This window comes from Homo sapiens, chromosome 8 (genome assembly GCF_000001405.40).
Source record: "Homo sapiens chromosome 8, GRCh38.p14 Primary Assembly".
Taxonomy (NCBI): domain Eukaryota; kingdom Metazoa; phylum Chordata; class Mammalia; order Primates; family Hominidae; genus Homo; species Homo sapiens.
In genome coordinates, this window is record NC_000008.11 from 94,819,376 (window position 1) to 94,835,736 (window position 16,361).

At 43.0% G+C, this 16,361-nt stretch overlaps 1 protein-coding gene across 4 annotated transcripts in view, besides 2 other annotated features; it reads left to right on the forward strand.

Annotated features, from left to right (window-relative positions):
* INTS8 (integrator complex subunit 8) overlaps nt 3,912-16,361 on the forward strand; it is a 58,460-nt gene continuing 46,010 nt past the window's right edge. For all 4 annotated transcript variants that reach the window (NR_073444.2, NR_073445.2, NM_017864.4 and 1 more), the window contains exons 1-6: nt 3,912-4,186; nt 5,518-5,692; nt 7,888-8,028; nt 8,347-8,418; nt 9,600-9,651; nt 12,617-12,799. Coding sequence is in view for 2 of the 4 variants with exons in the window: in NM_017864.4 (NP_060334.2) it covers nt 4,057-4,186; nt 5,518-5,692; nt 7,888-8,028; nt 8,347-8,418; nt 9,600-9,651; nt 12,617-12,799 (753 nt within the window). In the remaining 2 variants the exon portion in view is untranslated. The remainder of the gene's footprint in view (nt 4,187-5,517; nt 5,693-7,887; nt 8,029-8,346; nt 8,419-9,599; nt 9,652-12,616; nt 12,800-16,361) is intronic.
* Nucleotides 3,949-4,338: a silencer, noted in NCBI's record as "silent region_19369". NCBI's record gives its function as "represses an Ori minimal core promoter by ATAC-STARR-seq in GM12878 lymphoblastoid cells {active_cell/tissue: GM12878}" and the evidence as "EXISTENCE:reporter gene assay evidence [ECO:0000049][PMID:35858748]".
* Nucleotides 4,499-4,558: an enhancer, noted in NCBI's record as "active region_27635". NCBI's record gives its function as "activates an Ori minimal core promoter by ATAC-STARR-seq in GM12878 lymphoblastoid cells {active_cell/tissue: GM12878}" and the evidence as "EXISTENCE:reporter gene assay evidence [ECO:0000049][PMID:35858748]".

Sequence of the window (16,361 nt, forward strand, 5' to 3'; positions counted from 1 at the left end):
TGGTAATTTGTTACAGCAGCCACTTGAAACAGATACAATGAGTATGTCACATTTTATTTGTCTATTCACCAGGTTATAGACCTTGGTTTCTACTTTTAGGCTACTGTAGATACTGCTGTTCTAAACATTCAAGTCTTTGTGTGGGTACATTTTCTCCTTTCTCTTGGATACATACCTAGAAGGGGAATTGCTGAGTCATCTGGTAAGCCTATTTTTAACATTTTTTTTTTTTTGAGACAGAGTTTCATTCTTGTCGCCTAAGCTGGAGTGCAATGGCGCGATCTCGGCTCACCGCAACCTCTGCCTCCCGGGTTCAAGCGATTCTCCTGCCTCAGCCTCCTGAGTAGCTGGGATTACAGGCATGTGCCACCAAGCCCAGCTAATTTTGTATTTTTTAGTAGAGATGGGGTTTCTCCATGTTGGTCAGGCTGGTCTCGAACTCCTGACCTCAGGTGATCCGCCCGCCTCGGCCTCCCAAAGTGCTGGGATTACAGGCGTGACCCACCGTGCCCGGCCTATTTTTAACATTTTGAGAAACTGCCAAACTGGTTTCAAAAGTGGCTGTAGCATTTTACATTTGACATGTATGGAGGTTCTAATTTCATATCATCACCAATACTTATTTTTGTCTTTTTGATCATAGCCATTTTAGTGGGTGTGAAGTGGTATTTCACACAGTTTTGTTTTGCTTTATTTATTTATGTATTTATTTGAGACAAAGTCTCGCTCTGTCACCCAGCCCAGAGTGCAGTGGCATAATCATAGCTCACTGCAGCCTGCTTCCCAGGCTCAAGCCATCCTCCCACCTCAGTCTCCCAGGGTAGCTGGGACCACAGGCATGTATCGCCATGCCTGGCTAATTTTTGTGTTTTTTGTAGAGATGGGGTCTCACGTTGTTGCCCAGGCTAGTGATTTGCGTTTCTTTTCTTTTCTTTCCTTTTTTTTTTTTTTTTTGAGACAGTCTCACTCTGTCACCCAGGCTGGAGTGCAGTGGCATGATCTCAGCTCATTGCAACCTCCACCTCCTGGGTTCAAGTGATTCTCTGTCTCAGCCTCCCGAGTAGCTGGGATTACAGACGCATCACCACCATGCCCGGCTAATTTTTGTATTTTTAGTAAAGACAGGGTTTCACCATCTTGGCCAGGCTGGTCTTGAACTCCTGACCTTGTGATCCACCCACCTCGGCCTCCTAAAGTGATGAAATCACAGGCGTGAGCCACCGCACCTGGCCGATGATTTGTGTTTCTTTAACGACTAATGATATTGAGCATTTTCATGTGCATATTGCCCATTTGTAATATCTTCTTTGGAGAATGATCAATTCAAATCCTTTTTTTTTTTTTTTTTTTTTTGTTTTGAGATGGAGTCTCGCTCTGTCGGAGTCTCGCTCTGTTGCCTAGGCTGGAGTGCAGTGGCACAATCTCAGCTTACTGCAACCTCTGCCTCGTGGGTTCAAGCAATTCTCCTGCCTCAGCCTCTCAAGTAGCTGGGATTACAGGTGCCCGCCACCATGCCAGGCTAATTTTTGTATTTTTAGTAGAGATGAGGTTTCACCATGTTGGCCAGGCTGGTCTTGAACTCCTGACCTCAGGTGATCCACCCACCTCGGCCTCCCAAAGTGCTGGGATTACAGGCGTGAGCCACCGTGCCTGGCCAATTCAAATCCTTTACTCACTGTGTTGTTGCTGGGTTGTAAGAGTTCTTTACATATTCTAGATGTAAGTCCCTTATCAGACACATGATTTGCAAATATTTTCTTCTAGTCTTTGGGTTGTCATTCCACTTTCCTGATGGTATCTTTCCAAGTGTATTATTTTTTAAATCAAAATTTTAAATATTTCTTTTGCCTCTGTTGTTTCTGAGAGCCGAAGACATAGCAAGTTGAAGAAGCCTTGGCTTTTTGACATTCTGGGACACCTTTCAAGAACACTGAACCCACACCAGGATTGTCACACACTGACAGGGAAAGATGTGTCACTCCAGACCCAGGCAAGCAAACTTGGCCACAGCTGGGATATGTGTCTTGCATCAAAGCAGAAGCAACTGGTAGTTTTGAGGGTCTTCTGACAGACACCCTCCAAACATACTGCTCAGAAGTGAGGTAGGAGGTGAGATGCGACTCTGGAGTCAGGGTTTGGACACCGGACCAAATTCAGGGATGGGGCTGAAGCAGCTTTCCATGAGACATGCTCAACAGTGTGCCATGTCGGTTTACCATTGCCATGGCAACACCTGGGCATTGCCACCCCATTCTATGGTAATGACCCGATGACCCAGAAGTTACTACCTTTTTCCTAGAAATTTCTGCATAAACTTCCCCTTAATCTGCATGCAATTAAAAGTGGGTGTAAATATGCCTGCAGAACCTCCCTGAGCTGGTATTCTCAGCGCACTGCCTGTGGGTTAGCCCTGCTCTGCAGGGGCAGTCACAGAGCTGTAACACTGCCACTTCAGTAAAGCTGTTCTCTTCTACCACTGGTTCACACTTGAATTCTTTCCTGGACAAAGCAAAGAACTCTCTGGGGTGAAGTTCCAATTTGGGGTCACCTGCCCTGCATTAGAGGGACAAGAGTCCCTGGCTGGAAGCTTGAGTTCATTAGACTCCTCCAATGTTGATGAAGTCTTAAGTTATGACTCCCTCTAAGAGATGGTCTCTAAGTTTAATAAACTTCAAGATCTCTGTCAACCTTCAAGTATTCAATTACCCACTCTGAAAAGGGGAGTTCAGTGCTGTAACACTTTTATGGCAAGACATTTTTGAGTCTAAATAAAACACCTTGGGACTTGAAATATATAATGTTGTTATTGTATTAGATGGTAGTGGAATAATGAACTCTTCCTTAATTAAAACTTATTTTTACATATGTAATACAAATGTCAAAATGTCAAGTTAATCTGTACTGATTTCCTTTTTTTTCTTTCTTTTTTTTTTTCTCGTTGTGAGACAGGGTCTCACTCTGTTGCCCAGGCTGGAGTGTAGCGGCACAATCACAGCTCACTGCAACCTCAATCTCTTAGGCTTAGGTGATCCTCCCGCCTCAGCTTCCTGAGTAGCTGGGACCACAGGTGTGTGTCACCATACCCGGCTACTTAAAAAAAATTTTTTTTTGAGACAGAGTTTCGCTCTGTTGCCCAGGCTGGAGTGCAATGGAGCGATCTCGGTTCACTGCAACCTCCGCCTCGCGGGTTCAAGCGATTCTCCTGCCACAGCCTCCTGAGCAGCTGGGATTACAGGCGTCCGCCACCAAGCCCGGCTAATTTTTGTATTTTTAGTAGAGACGGGGTTTCATCATATTGGTCAGGCTGGCCTTGTATTCACGATCTATGAATGCATCTTTTTTCAGTTTTAATCGTTAATGAAAAATACAAGAACATCACAGAACGGAGGTAAATGTATAGGGTTAACAGCGCCTCTAGCGGGGATATCGAAAGGATCAACTAGGCTCTAAGTATCGGGAGCTAGCAGCAAGGGCTGCTCACCGTATGCTGCCATCCGTCCAGGAAGCGAGTGGGAAGCTGGTGTTCTCGGCAGGACGGCGGGAGCATCTGAGGAGAGGACCCAGGTGCGAGGAAATCTCAGAAATGGGAACGGGGAAATTGAAAGCACAGGAGATAAACTTTGCTTGGGTCACAACTAGAACCCTTCGCTTCGCCTTTACGAAAATATTGAGGCCCGTTGCAACCCTAGATGAGGTTGTCTCATTTTCTCGCTGGAGAACTGTCAGGGAACACGGAAAACCCACCCGCGACCCGGCTTCATGCGGCGCCGTCTCCTATGGCAACCGGGAGGAGGCGTGGTTCGAAGGTTAGTCACGCCCCTTTCCTTCCAACCCGAACAACGATTGGTCCGAAGGCGCGGCGGTGGCGCGGGGAGGCGGATCCAGGACCGCAGCTCCGGCTGGCCCGCGCCGCCATTTTGGATTGTGTGAGTTTCCGGGACGTTCGGAGGGTGGCCTCTCTCCCACCGGGTTCCGCATACCCCAGGCACCGGCCCGCATCCAAGTGTCAGGTTGGAGCCGGGAAGCGGCCCTGGTGGTAGCGGCGGCGGGGGCAGGATGAGCGCGGAGGCGGCGGACCGGGAGGCGGCCACCTCCAGCCGGCCCTGCACCCCGCCGCAGACCTGCTGGTTTGAGTTTCTGCTGGAGGAGTCACTGTTGGAGAAACATCTGCGCAAGCCCTGCCCGGGTGAGCGCGGCGCCTGCACCTGGGGAGCGGGACCCGGCCACCGGCGCTGTCCGCCCAGCTTCCCTCCGCTCCCCGCCTTCTCGGTCACCGAAGCTGCGGCCTGGGAGGCGCGCACAGGAGCCCAGCTCCGGCCGGGCTCCTCGCTTCCCTTAAACATGCCCGGGTGGAGGGTCAAAGAAAAGCTCGAAACAAAGGCTCTCCTACCCCCGGAGGGGAGGGCTTGGTGCTGTCATCCTAAACCCTTTGGTCCTTTTTACGATTTACCTTTTTACTGTTGGGGTTTTAGAGGCTGCGAGGCGGGTCTTGTGGTTGCTTGGGTCGGGGAGGCTGACCAGACGCCTCCTTCAACCCCAAGCTGAATAAATTCAGGGAGCTGGGGAGAAACCAGCTGTTGGGTGTTGATCGTGACGCTAGTTATTATCTTAGGTTTTATTTAAACATTTTTTTCTTCAGTGAGGGAATTTTATTGACTCTTATTCCAAAGTTGGGCTGTAAGTTAAAAGAAAATCTTTGAAAGTAGGAACTGCTGCACATTTGCAAGATGGCTTTGTATAGTGATGATAATGATTAATAGCCCAGTTAAATGGGTGTGATTGATGGGGGAGGAGGAAAACTCCAGGCATTCTCAAAAAAGGTATTGGCACAAAAAGGTAAGTTCCTCGGATAGCATTTCTCTAAATTCAAATCTAGATATGGCTTGTTCAGTCTCAGACTGGCCTTCACTGATAGAGACCACTGTGTAAGAAGTTAGTGTACTTAGGCAGTTTTGGCACCTGTATAATGCCCTTAATTCATTCCTTTTGAAAGATAATTTGTTGAGTGCTTTCCGGGTGCCATGCACTGTGCTTAATTGCTCACATCCGTTACCTCCTTTAATTTAATCTTCAAAATGATCCTCTATTTTGCATTGGAAGAAGCAGGTACGGAGAGGTCACTTGATGGAGGTCCCCCTAATTAAGTGTCAAAATAATAGTTCTAATATTTATATCTCATTCTTCTAATTGGCAGTGGTTATTTGCAGAACCAGAAATCTATGACTGTTATGTTCTTCCCCGTAAGGTGCTTTTTTTTGCTTTCTTCCACTCTAATCTGTTACCCTTCCTCCTTACCACTCTTCCGCATCTCCTTTAACCCCCAGGCACACTTCTTACATACGTATTCCTTAGTCATTTTAACAGCGCAGCTGTTTGGATTCCTTTTGTGGCAAAAAAAAAACCCAAACTCCCCCCCCCCCCACCCACCCCCCCAAAAAAACCAAACCAATAGTGAATCCTTTTGTATCTACATAATTAAAACTTAAATTTAAGAATTTATTTTCTTTTAAACCCTAGATCCTGCACCAGTTCAACTTATAGTTCAGTTTTTGGAACAGGCTTCCAAACCTTCAGTTAATGAACAAAACCAAGTTCAACCTCCGCCTGATAACAAGAGAAATCGTATTTTAAAACTACTTGCTCTTAAAGTTGCTGCACATTTGAAGTGGGACTTAGACATATTAGAGAAAAGGTATCCAAGATTTCAGTGAAATTTCATTTGAAGTGCTATTTAGATATCTTGGTTTATTTCTATATATGCTTTTATGATATCGGCTCTTAAAAATTACGTGCTGGGCGCCGTGGCTCACGCCTATAATAATCCCGGCACTTTGGGGGCCAAGGCTGGCAGATTACTTGAGGTCAGGAGTTTGAGACCAGCCTGGCCATCATGGTGAAACCTCGTCTCTAGCCGGGCATGGTGGCGGGCGCCTGTAATTTCAGCTACTTGGGAGGCTGAGGCACGAGAATCGCTTGAACCCGGGAGGCTGAGGTTGCAGTGAGCCGAGATGGCGCTACTGCACTCCAGCCTGGGCGATAGAGTAAGACTCGGAAAAAAAAAAAAAATAATAAAATAAATATTATATATTCTTGATAAAATATGCAAGTATAACATTACTTTTGATGTGGTAACTAGAGAAAATCCACACCTAAACTGTTGTAAATTTCTCAAGTGACTTTTACATATCTGAAGAAAATGAATAAAAATTAATGATAGATGTTGTGTAATATGAATGATTTGCTGTTGAATAATTGAGTTGATTTTACTGGTCATAAATCACTATCTCCTATTAAAACAGCTGATTAGAGTCAGTGCTTATTTGCTTAAATATAAATAATTTCAAGCCTTTTATTAGAAAATGATTTATTATCATCCCCTTCTCATCACAATTTAAAACATCCCTTATAGGAAGTTGGGAAAAATTTAAAAAATAGGAAATAATTGGGGAGGAGAGGGGTTTTTTTTGACATTTTCATGTAATTTTTTTTCTTTGTTCTCCATAGGCTTAAAGTTGTGATCATACCCTATATACTGTTTTTATTCCTGGTTTTTTCACCTAGCTGTATCATGAGCATTTCCCCTTTTTTATTTTTTGGAGAGAATTCCGTTGTATGGGTAATTTATTAACTGTTCCTTAATTGACAGTCATTTAGTTTATTTCTAGTTTTTCACTGATATAAATCACAGGGCCTTAAATATCTTTGCCCATAAAATAAGTTTATCTGTATTTTGAGTTGTATTCTTAGGATAGCTCCTTAAATTGCTGGATCGTGCAGTATAAACATTGTTAAGACACATGAATATTGCTGGATTGCATTCCAAAAGAGTTTATATTCTCACCAGTAGTATTCAAAAACCCTCTTTTTAACCACATTCTTCAGCATTAAATATTAGAATTTTTAAAGTGAATTTTTTTTTTTTTTGAGACGGAGTCTCGCTCTGTCACCCAGGCTGGAGTGCAGTGGCGCGATATTCGCTCACTGCAAGCTCCGCCTCCTGGGTTGACGCCATTCTCCTGCCTCAGCCTCCCGAGTAGCTGGGACTGCAGGCGCCCGCCACCATAAAGTGTATTTTTAATCTGAGCAGGGGAAGCTATACGTTATAGACTGAAGAGACATCAACAGATAGCAATGGGTACAAAGAAGTATGACATATATGAGGCAGCTGGAAAATTGAACACTGATAGGCTGTTTGACAGTAAGCAAGTCTAAGTTTTTTAGATGTGAAATTAATATTGTGATTATGTTAAGAGTTAATTTTTTGAAATATATTCTGAAATATTTATGGACGAAATGATTTGGGAAGTGGGGAAGAATAGAGATGAAGTAAGATTGGCCATCAGGTGATAATTGCTAGATGATGGTACATAGGGGTTCATTATATCCTGTCTACTTTTATGTTTTACGTTTTTTCATAATAAAAAGTTTTAAAAATCTTTTCGCATTTAAGCCGGGCACGGTGGCTCACGCCTGTAATCCCAGCACTGTGGGAGGCTGAGGCAGGCAGATCACAAGGTCAGGAGATGGAGACCATCCTGGCTAACATGGTGAAACCCCGTCTCTACTAAAAACACAAAAAATTAGCTGGGCATGGTGGCGGGCGCCTGTAATCCCAGCTACTCAGGAGGCTCAGGCAGGAGAATGGCATGAACCCGGGAGGCGGAGCTTGCAGTGAGCCAAGATTGTGCCACTGCACTCCAGCCTGGGCGACAGAGCGAGACTCTGTCTCAAAAAAAAGAAAAAAAAACTTTTTCACATTTGATAGCTAAACCCAGAGATGTGGTTCCTTAACAATGTAGGTATTTTCAGCGAGGATATGGAATTTTGTATGTATTTTGTGTTTCTTTCACAATTAATGTGCAAACATGTACGTTTTGCTTCTTCAAGTTTGTCTGTTCCAGTATTGAATATGCTACTAAATGAACTACTCTGCATCAGTAAAGTTCCTCCTGGGACAAAGCATGTAGACATGGATCTGGCCACTTTACCTCCGACCACTGCCATGGCTGTACTTCTCTATAATAGATGGTAAATGTTTTCATAAACTCAGAAGGCGTTGGGCAACCTCTGTTTTATTGCACTGTGGCTTTCAAGGATATTCTTTTAATGGACCCATTCTGCTGCAGGGATTTTTCAAATCTGGGGAACTGTGAGTCTAATGGTGGAGAAAATTTGTGACTGCATAGATGAAAAGCAATCTGATAAAAATGTGGATGACTTATGCAGGATTTACCATGTGTCAATTAATGCTTCATATAATTTATACAAACCTAAGGAGTACTTGAAAAAATAATTGAGATGACATTTATAATGTATGAAATTTTCTTTTTCCTGTCTTTTCTTCAGGGCAATTAGGACAATTGTTCAAAGTAGTTTTCCAGTCAAACAGGCAAAACCCGGACCCCCTCAGTTAAGTGTGTAAGTTGGTGGCTATGACCTTTACTTGGCACTTTTTTCATTGGAGTTTTAAAAATGTTTGCAAGTTTTTAATAACCTCTGTTATAGAAGAAGTAGAGCAGGAATAGGAGGGCAGAAGGCCTGTGTGAAGGTTTGTTTGAAGGAGTTAGAGGGGCTGGAGAGTCAGGTAATGTGCTAGATACAGAGTTCTAAGAAGGGAAGTGCTTTGGGAATTGTGCCATTTATCTGAAAGCAGTCAAGTTTTTTTTTTTGTTTTTTTTTTTTGAGATGGAGACTCACTCTGTCGCCCAGGCTGGAATGCAGTGGTGTGATCTCGGCTCACTGCAGCCTCCACCTCCTGGGTTCAAGTGATTCTCCCACCTCAGCCTCCCAAGTAGCTGGGATTGCAGGTGTGGGCCACCAAGCCTGGCTAATTTTTGCATTTTTTAGTAGAGACTGGGTTTCACCATGTAGGCCAGGCTGGTGTCGAACTCCTGACCTCAGGTGATCCACCCGCCTTGGTCTTCCAAAGTGCTGGGATTACAGGTGTGAGCCACGGCACCCAGCCTGATATTTTTTTCATTTAATTAAATTGTCTTGAAAAAGATTTGTATGTGGGGAAATTAATATATGTCAATATTAGAGTACAATACAAAAGTTGATCGTATCTGGAGGTTTTCTTTTTTTAAATTTTTTATTTTTAAGGCTTGTCAAGTGAAGCAGCAGGAGTGGAGGATGGAGTTTTAAACCTGATTCTTAATTTCCACATGGCAGCCTAGCCAAATTTGGAGCTAGAAAGCATAGTTTCTAACTTGATACAAATGAGCTTTTGTTGTAAGTTTTGCTCTTCAGTTGAGTAAATGAGGTTGGGTGCTGTGGCTCACACCTGTAATCCTAACACTTTGGGAGGTTGAGGTGGGAGGATTACTTGAACCCAGGAGGTTGAGGCTGCCACTGCACTCCAATCTGGGTGACAGGGTGTCTCAAAAACAAAAAACCCAAACAAAGTAAATGAGAAAATACTGGTACGTTAATAAGCATCATAATAGTTGAGGGTTTTGTTTTTTCAAACATGAAAATGAATAACATTAAAAACACTCTTAAATTGAACCTGACTTTCAAGAATGATGCTCTTAAGTTTTGAATTTTTTAGTCTTGAGAGTAACTTTTGATACTTTTGTTTTCAATTGTTTCTCTTTTAGTATGAATCAAATGCAACAGGAAAAAGAGCTAACAGAAAACATTTTGAAAGTGGTAAGTATTGGCATCAGTTACACAGTAACACTTCAGGAACAACTTTAGAGCAGCAGTTCCCAACCTTTTTGGCACCAGGGACTGGTTTTGTGGAAGGCAATTTCCAGGAAACTGGATGTGGTGTGGGGGGCGGGGGGCGAGGATGATTTCAGGATGATTCAAGCACGTTACATTTATTGTGTACTTTATTTCCATTATTATTACGTTGTAATATATATGGAAATAATTATCCAACTCACCATAATTTAGAATCAACGGGAACCCTGAGCTTGTTTTCCTGCAACTAGATGGTCCCATTTGGGGGTGATGAGAGACAGTGACAGATCATCAGGCATTAATTCTCACAAGGAGGACACAACATGGATCCCTCGCGTGTGTAGTTCACGATAGGGTTTGCGCTCCTGTGTGAATCTAATGCCCCCATTGATCTGACAGGAGGTGGAGCTCAGGCCATAATGCGAGCGATGGGGAGCAGCTGTAAATACAGATGAAGCTTCTTTTGCTCACCCGCTGCTCACTTCCTGCTGTGCAGCCTGGTTCCTGGTACCAGTCCATGGCCTGGGGGTTGGGGACCCCTGCCTTTATACCATTTATAGATGTGTCTTCTAATCTTGGGGACATGAGAGTTGTGAAGGTCTAAGTGCCGTGACATTAAGGTTTTTACTATTAGGATATAGGTAATATTCTAAATCACACATAGTCTTTCAGTTTTAATAGTAGAGTACTACTGATTGATTCTGTTTCGTGATACATTAGTAGATACGAGAAACTGATTTTACAGGTGACGTCTTTATATTTTGTATTTTCTAAAAACTCTATGACAAACATGTATAGTTTATATTTTAAAATTACTTTTATAATAAATTACAGCAGTTTATTTTTTATTTTTTTGAGACAGAGTCTTGCTCTGTTACCAGGCCGGAGTGCAGTGGCGGAGTCAGCTCACTGCAACTTCGCCTCCCTGCTTCAAGCAATTTTCCTGCCTCAGCCTCCTGAATAGCTGGGATTACAGGCACTTGCCACCATGCCCAGCTAATTTTTTGTATTTTTAGTAGAGACGGGTTTCACCGTGTTGGCCAGGCTGGTCTCGAACTCCTGACCTCAAGTGATCCACCCACCTTGGCCTTCCAAAGTGCTGGGATTACAGGTGTGAGCCACTGTACCTAGCCTAGCAGTTATTTTTTAATTGATCTACATAATGGAAAATTAGAAACCTGACAGTTTCTATAATTTAGAAATGATTTCTGTAATTAACACCTACAATGTTCCATATTACCATGTGAGGTGTAGGGGCTGGGTGAGGAGAGAAAAAGGTAAGAAACGATCTGTATCTCACTATAGCAAATATGCTGTAATATTTTGAATGTGGAAGCCAAAGCCTACATCATTTCATTGTTGTTATCTAGTTCCTAATAAAATGACTGGCACATTGAAGTATACAGATATTTCTTGAATAAATCAAGTGGAACAGTGCAAATTTTTTCTTTTTTAGACAGGGTCTGACTCTGTTGCCCAGGCTACAGTGCAGTGGCCTGATCTTGGCTCATTGCAGCCTCCACCTCCCAGCCTCAAGCGATCCTCCCACCTCAGTGTTGCCAGTAGCTGGGACTACAGACATGTGCCACCACACTAGACTAATTTTTGTATTTTTTGTAGAGATGGGATTTTGCCATGTTGTTCAGTCTGGTCTCGAACTTCTGGACTCAAGCGATCCACCCACTTCGGACCCCCAAAGTGCTGGTATTACATATATGAGTCACTGTGTCCAGCTAAATCTTTTTTGTTTTTTGAGATGGAGTCTTGCTCTGTTGCCCAGGCTGGAGTGCAATGGTGCGATCTCAGCTCACTGCAACCTCTGCCTCCCGGGTTCAAGCGATTCTTCTGCCTCAGTCTCCCAGGTAGCTGGGATTATAGGCGTGCTCCACCATGCCTGGCTAATTTTTGTATTTTTAGTAGAGATGGGGTTTCACCATGTTGGTCAGGCTGGTCTTGAACTCCTGACCTCGTGATCTGCCCATCTTGGGCTCCTAAAGTGCTGGGATTACAGGTGTGAGCCACCGTGCCTGGCCACCAGCTAAATCTTTAAAGCATTAACTTTTCTTTTTTAGACAGAATATTACTCTGTCACCCAGGCTGGAGTGCAGTGGCATGATCTCAGCTCACTGCAACCTCTGTCTCCTAGGTTCAAGCAATTCTTGTGCCTCAGCCTCCCTAGTAGCTGGGATTACAAGTGTATGCTACCATGGCCAGCTAATTTTTGTAGTTTTAGTAGAAACAGGATTTCTCCATGCTGGCCAGGCAGGTCTCGAACCCCTGGCCACAGATGATCCTCCTGCCTCGCTTGGCCTCCCAAAGTGTTGGGATTACGGGTGTGAGCCACTGCCCCTGGCCTAAAGTATCAACTTTTCTACAGAAAAAAGATACCAGTCTTTCCTGTTTTTTGTATTGTCTTTTTCTTTTTTTTTTTTTTTTTGAGATGGAGTTTCGCTCTGTCACCCAGGCCGGAGTGCAGTGGCACGATCTTGGCTCACTGCGACCTCCACCTCCCAGGTTCAAGCAATTCTCCTGCCTCAGCTTCCTGAGTAGCTGGGATTACAGGCGTCTGCCCCCATGCCCGGCTAATTTTTGTATTTTTAGTAGAGATGAGGTTTCACCCTATTGGTCAGGCTGGTCTCGAACTCCTGATCTCGTGATCTGCCCGCCTCGGCCTCCCAAAGTGCTGGGATTATAGGCGTGAGCCACCATGCCTGGCCCTCCTGTTTTTCATATTTTCTAACCTCACAATAGGAACTTATTTCCCTTCATTTAAGGTAACTTTATTTCAACAAATGTAATTGTACTCTTGCTGTGTTAAAAATTTTTTTAATAGCTTAGTGTACTGAGTTACTAAATAGACTGTAAATATTTTTGGTTATTATAATCAGTTGCTATTTTTGTATTTTTATTTGTTTATTGATTTCTGTAGCTCAAAGAACAAGCTGCTGATTCTATTTTGGTACTAGAAGCAGCCCTAAAATTAAACAAGGATCTTTATGTCCATACGATGAGAACTCTAGATTTATTGGCCATGGAACCAGGCATGGTAAATGGAGAAACTGAGAGTTCTACTGCTGGATTGAAAGTCAAAACCGAAGAAATGCAGTGCCAGGTATTCATTTGATACTTAATTTACGTAGGGCAATTTTTTGGAAAATCTTAATATGAGATCATCCTCCTATTTTTAATTAGAATTTATTTCTGCCTTTGTCTCTTAAGATGCTATTAAAACTGCATTGTATTTAATTTATACATTTATAAGATTTGACATTTTTCTAAAAGAAATGGAAGAGAAATTTTATGTCATCTGTTGTCTCTGAAATAGTTTCCGGATTGTATTTAGGAGACAGAGTTTAAGTACTGAGAATACAGTTATATGTAATTGATTTACAGTTCTTTCATATTATCAGAAATCTGATCAGACCAAAAGAAGATAAAAACTAATATTATGCTAGACTTTGAAAAATCTAGACCTCAAGAGAGAGTGTCTAGCTTTTCAGGGATCTTAAGTTTGCCCTCTTTCTATAACTCTGGGCCCCTTGTTCCTTTCACAGTTTTCAGTTGATGCTTATTGTCAGGTATTATTTGTTTTTGTTTTTGTTTTTTTTTTGAGACGGAGTCTTGCTCTGTCACCCAGGCTGGAGTGCAGTGGCATGATCTCAGCTCACTGCAAACTCCGCCTCCCGGGTTCATGCCATTCTCCTGCCTGAGCCTCCCGAGTAGCTGGGACTACAGGCGCCTGCCACCACACCCGGCTAATTTTTTGTGTTTTTAGTAGAGACGGGGTTTCACCGTGTTGGCCAGCGTGGTCTAGATCTCCTGACCTCGTGATCCGCCCGCCTCGGTCTCCCAAAGTGCTGGGATTACAGGCGTGAGCCACCGCGCCCGGCCGTTGTCAGATATTACTTTGTGTGTTTATGTCTTCTTTTTCCCTACTGGATTATAACTCTTTGACATCTCTCTCTCTCTCTTTTTTTTTTAATATGTTCTGCGTCTTACTTTCCAGAGTAGGACCTTGAGTAAAATAGAAATTTTAAAGTATTCAGTGATTGTCTAGAGAGGGCTACTAAGATTGTACCTTCTAAACTGTATTGTCTTTCCTTATTCGTATGAGTTGGCATGGCTTCTTTTATCACTAATTCCTTTTCTGGAAAGGGGTAAAAATAGTTATGACAGTTTTGGGAAGGTGCGTTTTCAGATTAGCTGTTTCCAGAGCTGAAGGTAATCATTTATTCAAGGCCTGATGAGCTGGAGTTTGCAGCAGGAGTAGGAGTTAATGAAGTATTGATACTTGGTAACCCTTTTTGTAAAAAAAAAAAATTTTAATTTTTTTTTTATAGAGACAGGGTCTCCCTATGTTGCCCAGGCTGGTCTCGGAACTCCTGGGCTCAAGGGATCCTCCCACCTTGGCCTCCCAAAGTGCTGGGATTACAGGATACTTGGTAACATTTTAAAATCACTGATGAAACTTGCATATAGGAGTGTTACTGGTATGTAGTATCTCATAATCTTTCAGAACCCGTTTAAAAGTTGTTGATGACACTTCTGATTTTTGCAACATGGTGGATGATACAACCTGAAAACAAAACTCCTGTAAAACATCTGTATGTGCTAGGCAAACTATCAAATGTTCTTTTACTTACATAGCTGAGTGACAATTCCTGTTTTTTGAAGGGCAAATTAGTGGTAACACTCATTTCCTGGCATGACAATGTTTTTCTTTTTTGAGACGGAGTTTCACTCTTGTTGCCCAGACTAGAGTGCAATGTCGTGATCTCAGCTCACCACAACCTCCGCCTCCCAGGTTCAAGCAATTCTCCTGCCTCAGCCTCCCAAGTAGCTGGGATTACAGGCATGCACCACCTCGCCTGGCTAATTTTTGTATTTTTAGTAGAGATGGGGTTTCTCCATGTTGATCAGGCTGGTCTCAAACTCCCGACTTCCAGTGATCTGCCCGCCTCGGCCTCCCAAAGTGCTGGGATTACCGGTGTGAGCCACCAGATCATATCTAAAGTAGGTTCTTTACATTACTAAAATTTACCTTAGACTTAAAAAGAAAAATTGTTATTTTTTTCCCCCAATAAAACCAGGCCTTAATGCCCTTCAGGGCAGCTTCATTATCAGGCTTTTTTGTTTTTACAGTAAATCTATTGAGCACCTCTTAACCTCTAAACTCATTGTAATGGCTAGTCAGTTGCTAGAGTAATACTTGAAAATATGTTTTTGGTATTTTGCAGTCTATCTTTGCCTAGAAAGGGGAATTATATATAACTGTAGTAAGTATGCATATATGTGCATGGGTGTGTGTGTGTGTGTGTGTGTGTGTGTGTGTGTGTATTTTTTGCTCTTTTAGTATCCCTTTACTCCAGATAGGAGGAACTCTCTAGAATGAAAATCAGCCAAGGGAGGCCAAGATGAGCGGATCACCTGAGGTCAGAAGTTCTAGACCAGCCTGGCTAACGTGGCAAAATCCTGTTTCTACGAAAAACACAAAAATTAGGCGTTGTGGCAGGTGCCTGTGATCCCAGCTACTCGGCAGGCTGAGGCAGGAGAATCGCTTGAACCCGAAAGAGGAGATTGCAGTGAGCCGAGATCACCCCATTGCATTCCAGCCTGGGCGACAGGAGTGAAACTCCATCTCAAAAAAAAAAAAAAAAAGTCAGCCAAACATGTAGTGTGGACTAAATAGTGCAAAGCAATGTTGTAGAGGCTAAGGAGAATTAACCTGGATTCTTTGAATTGGACAGAACCATATTTATAAAGCATATCAGTGAAGAGTGGTTTCATGATGAATACCAGGCATGATTATAGCTTAGGAGTTTGGAAGAGGAGTAAGTATCTGTTGCCAAAGGTTGGTTTTGTGGTATAAAAGGAGTAAGGGGTGTGGAATGAAGCATATTTCTAGTATCTCATGTGAATGGGGACTTGAGAAGACTGGTGTGATTAAAATAGAGCACAGTGGAGAGGTTTGGAAAGAGAGATTAGGCCACATTCTGAGATCCTTACAGATCAGGCCAAGGAGTTTGAACTTTCTTCTGTTTTGGGGAGTAATTGAAGTCTTCTTAAGTCAGTCAGATCAAGAAGACTTGATCTGTCAGCCATGTGTAGAATAAATTTGAGTCAGAATATTACGAGCTTAGGAATCTGAATTCAAACTTTGGCTCTGCTATTACTTGGTTATATGCTTTTCATGTCACTTTCTGGGCGTTTGTATTCTTATCCATAAAATGGCCAAGTTGAACTAAATAATCTGAGTCTTTTTTGAGTTTTGCATTTAGTAATTCCAGGTGTCAATATAAGCTTTTTGAAAAACATACAAATTATTTTCTTTTTTGCCTAGTGTCCACATCTTACATACAAATTCTGTCATAGAAACATACGACTGGAAAAGTTTTATGGTTAGCATACATTTCTCACTTTAACCAGTATGTTACGGTAGACGTGCACCATCTTCACTTTTGAGGGGCTCCCCAGCGTTTTTTCCCTCTCCTGTGTTAGAAAATTCCCGATCTTTTCAGACTTGTAGGAGGCAGAGCCTGCTTCTTTTTTTTTTTTGAGACAGAGTCTCGCCCTGTCGCCCAGGCTGGAATGCAGTGGTGCAATCTTGGCTCACTGCAACCTCTGCCTCCCGGGTTCAAGCGATTCTCCTGCCCCAGCCTCCCAAATAGCTGGGA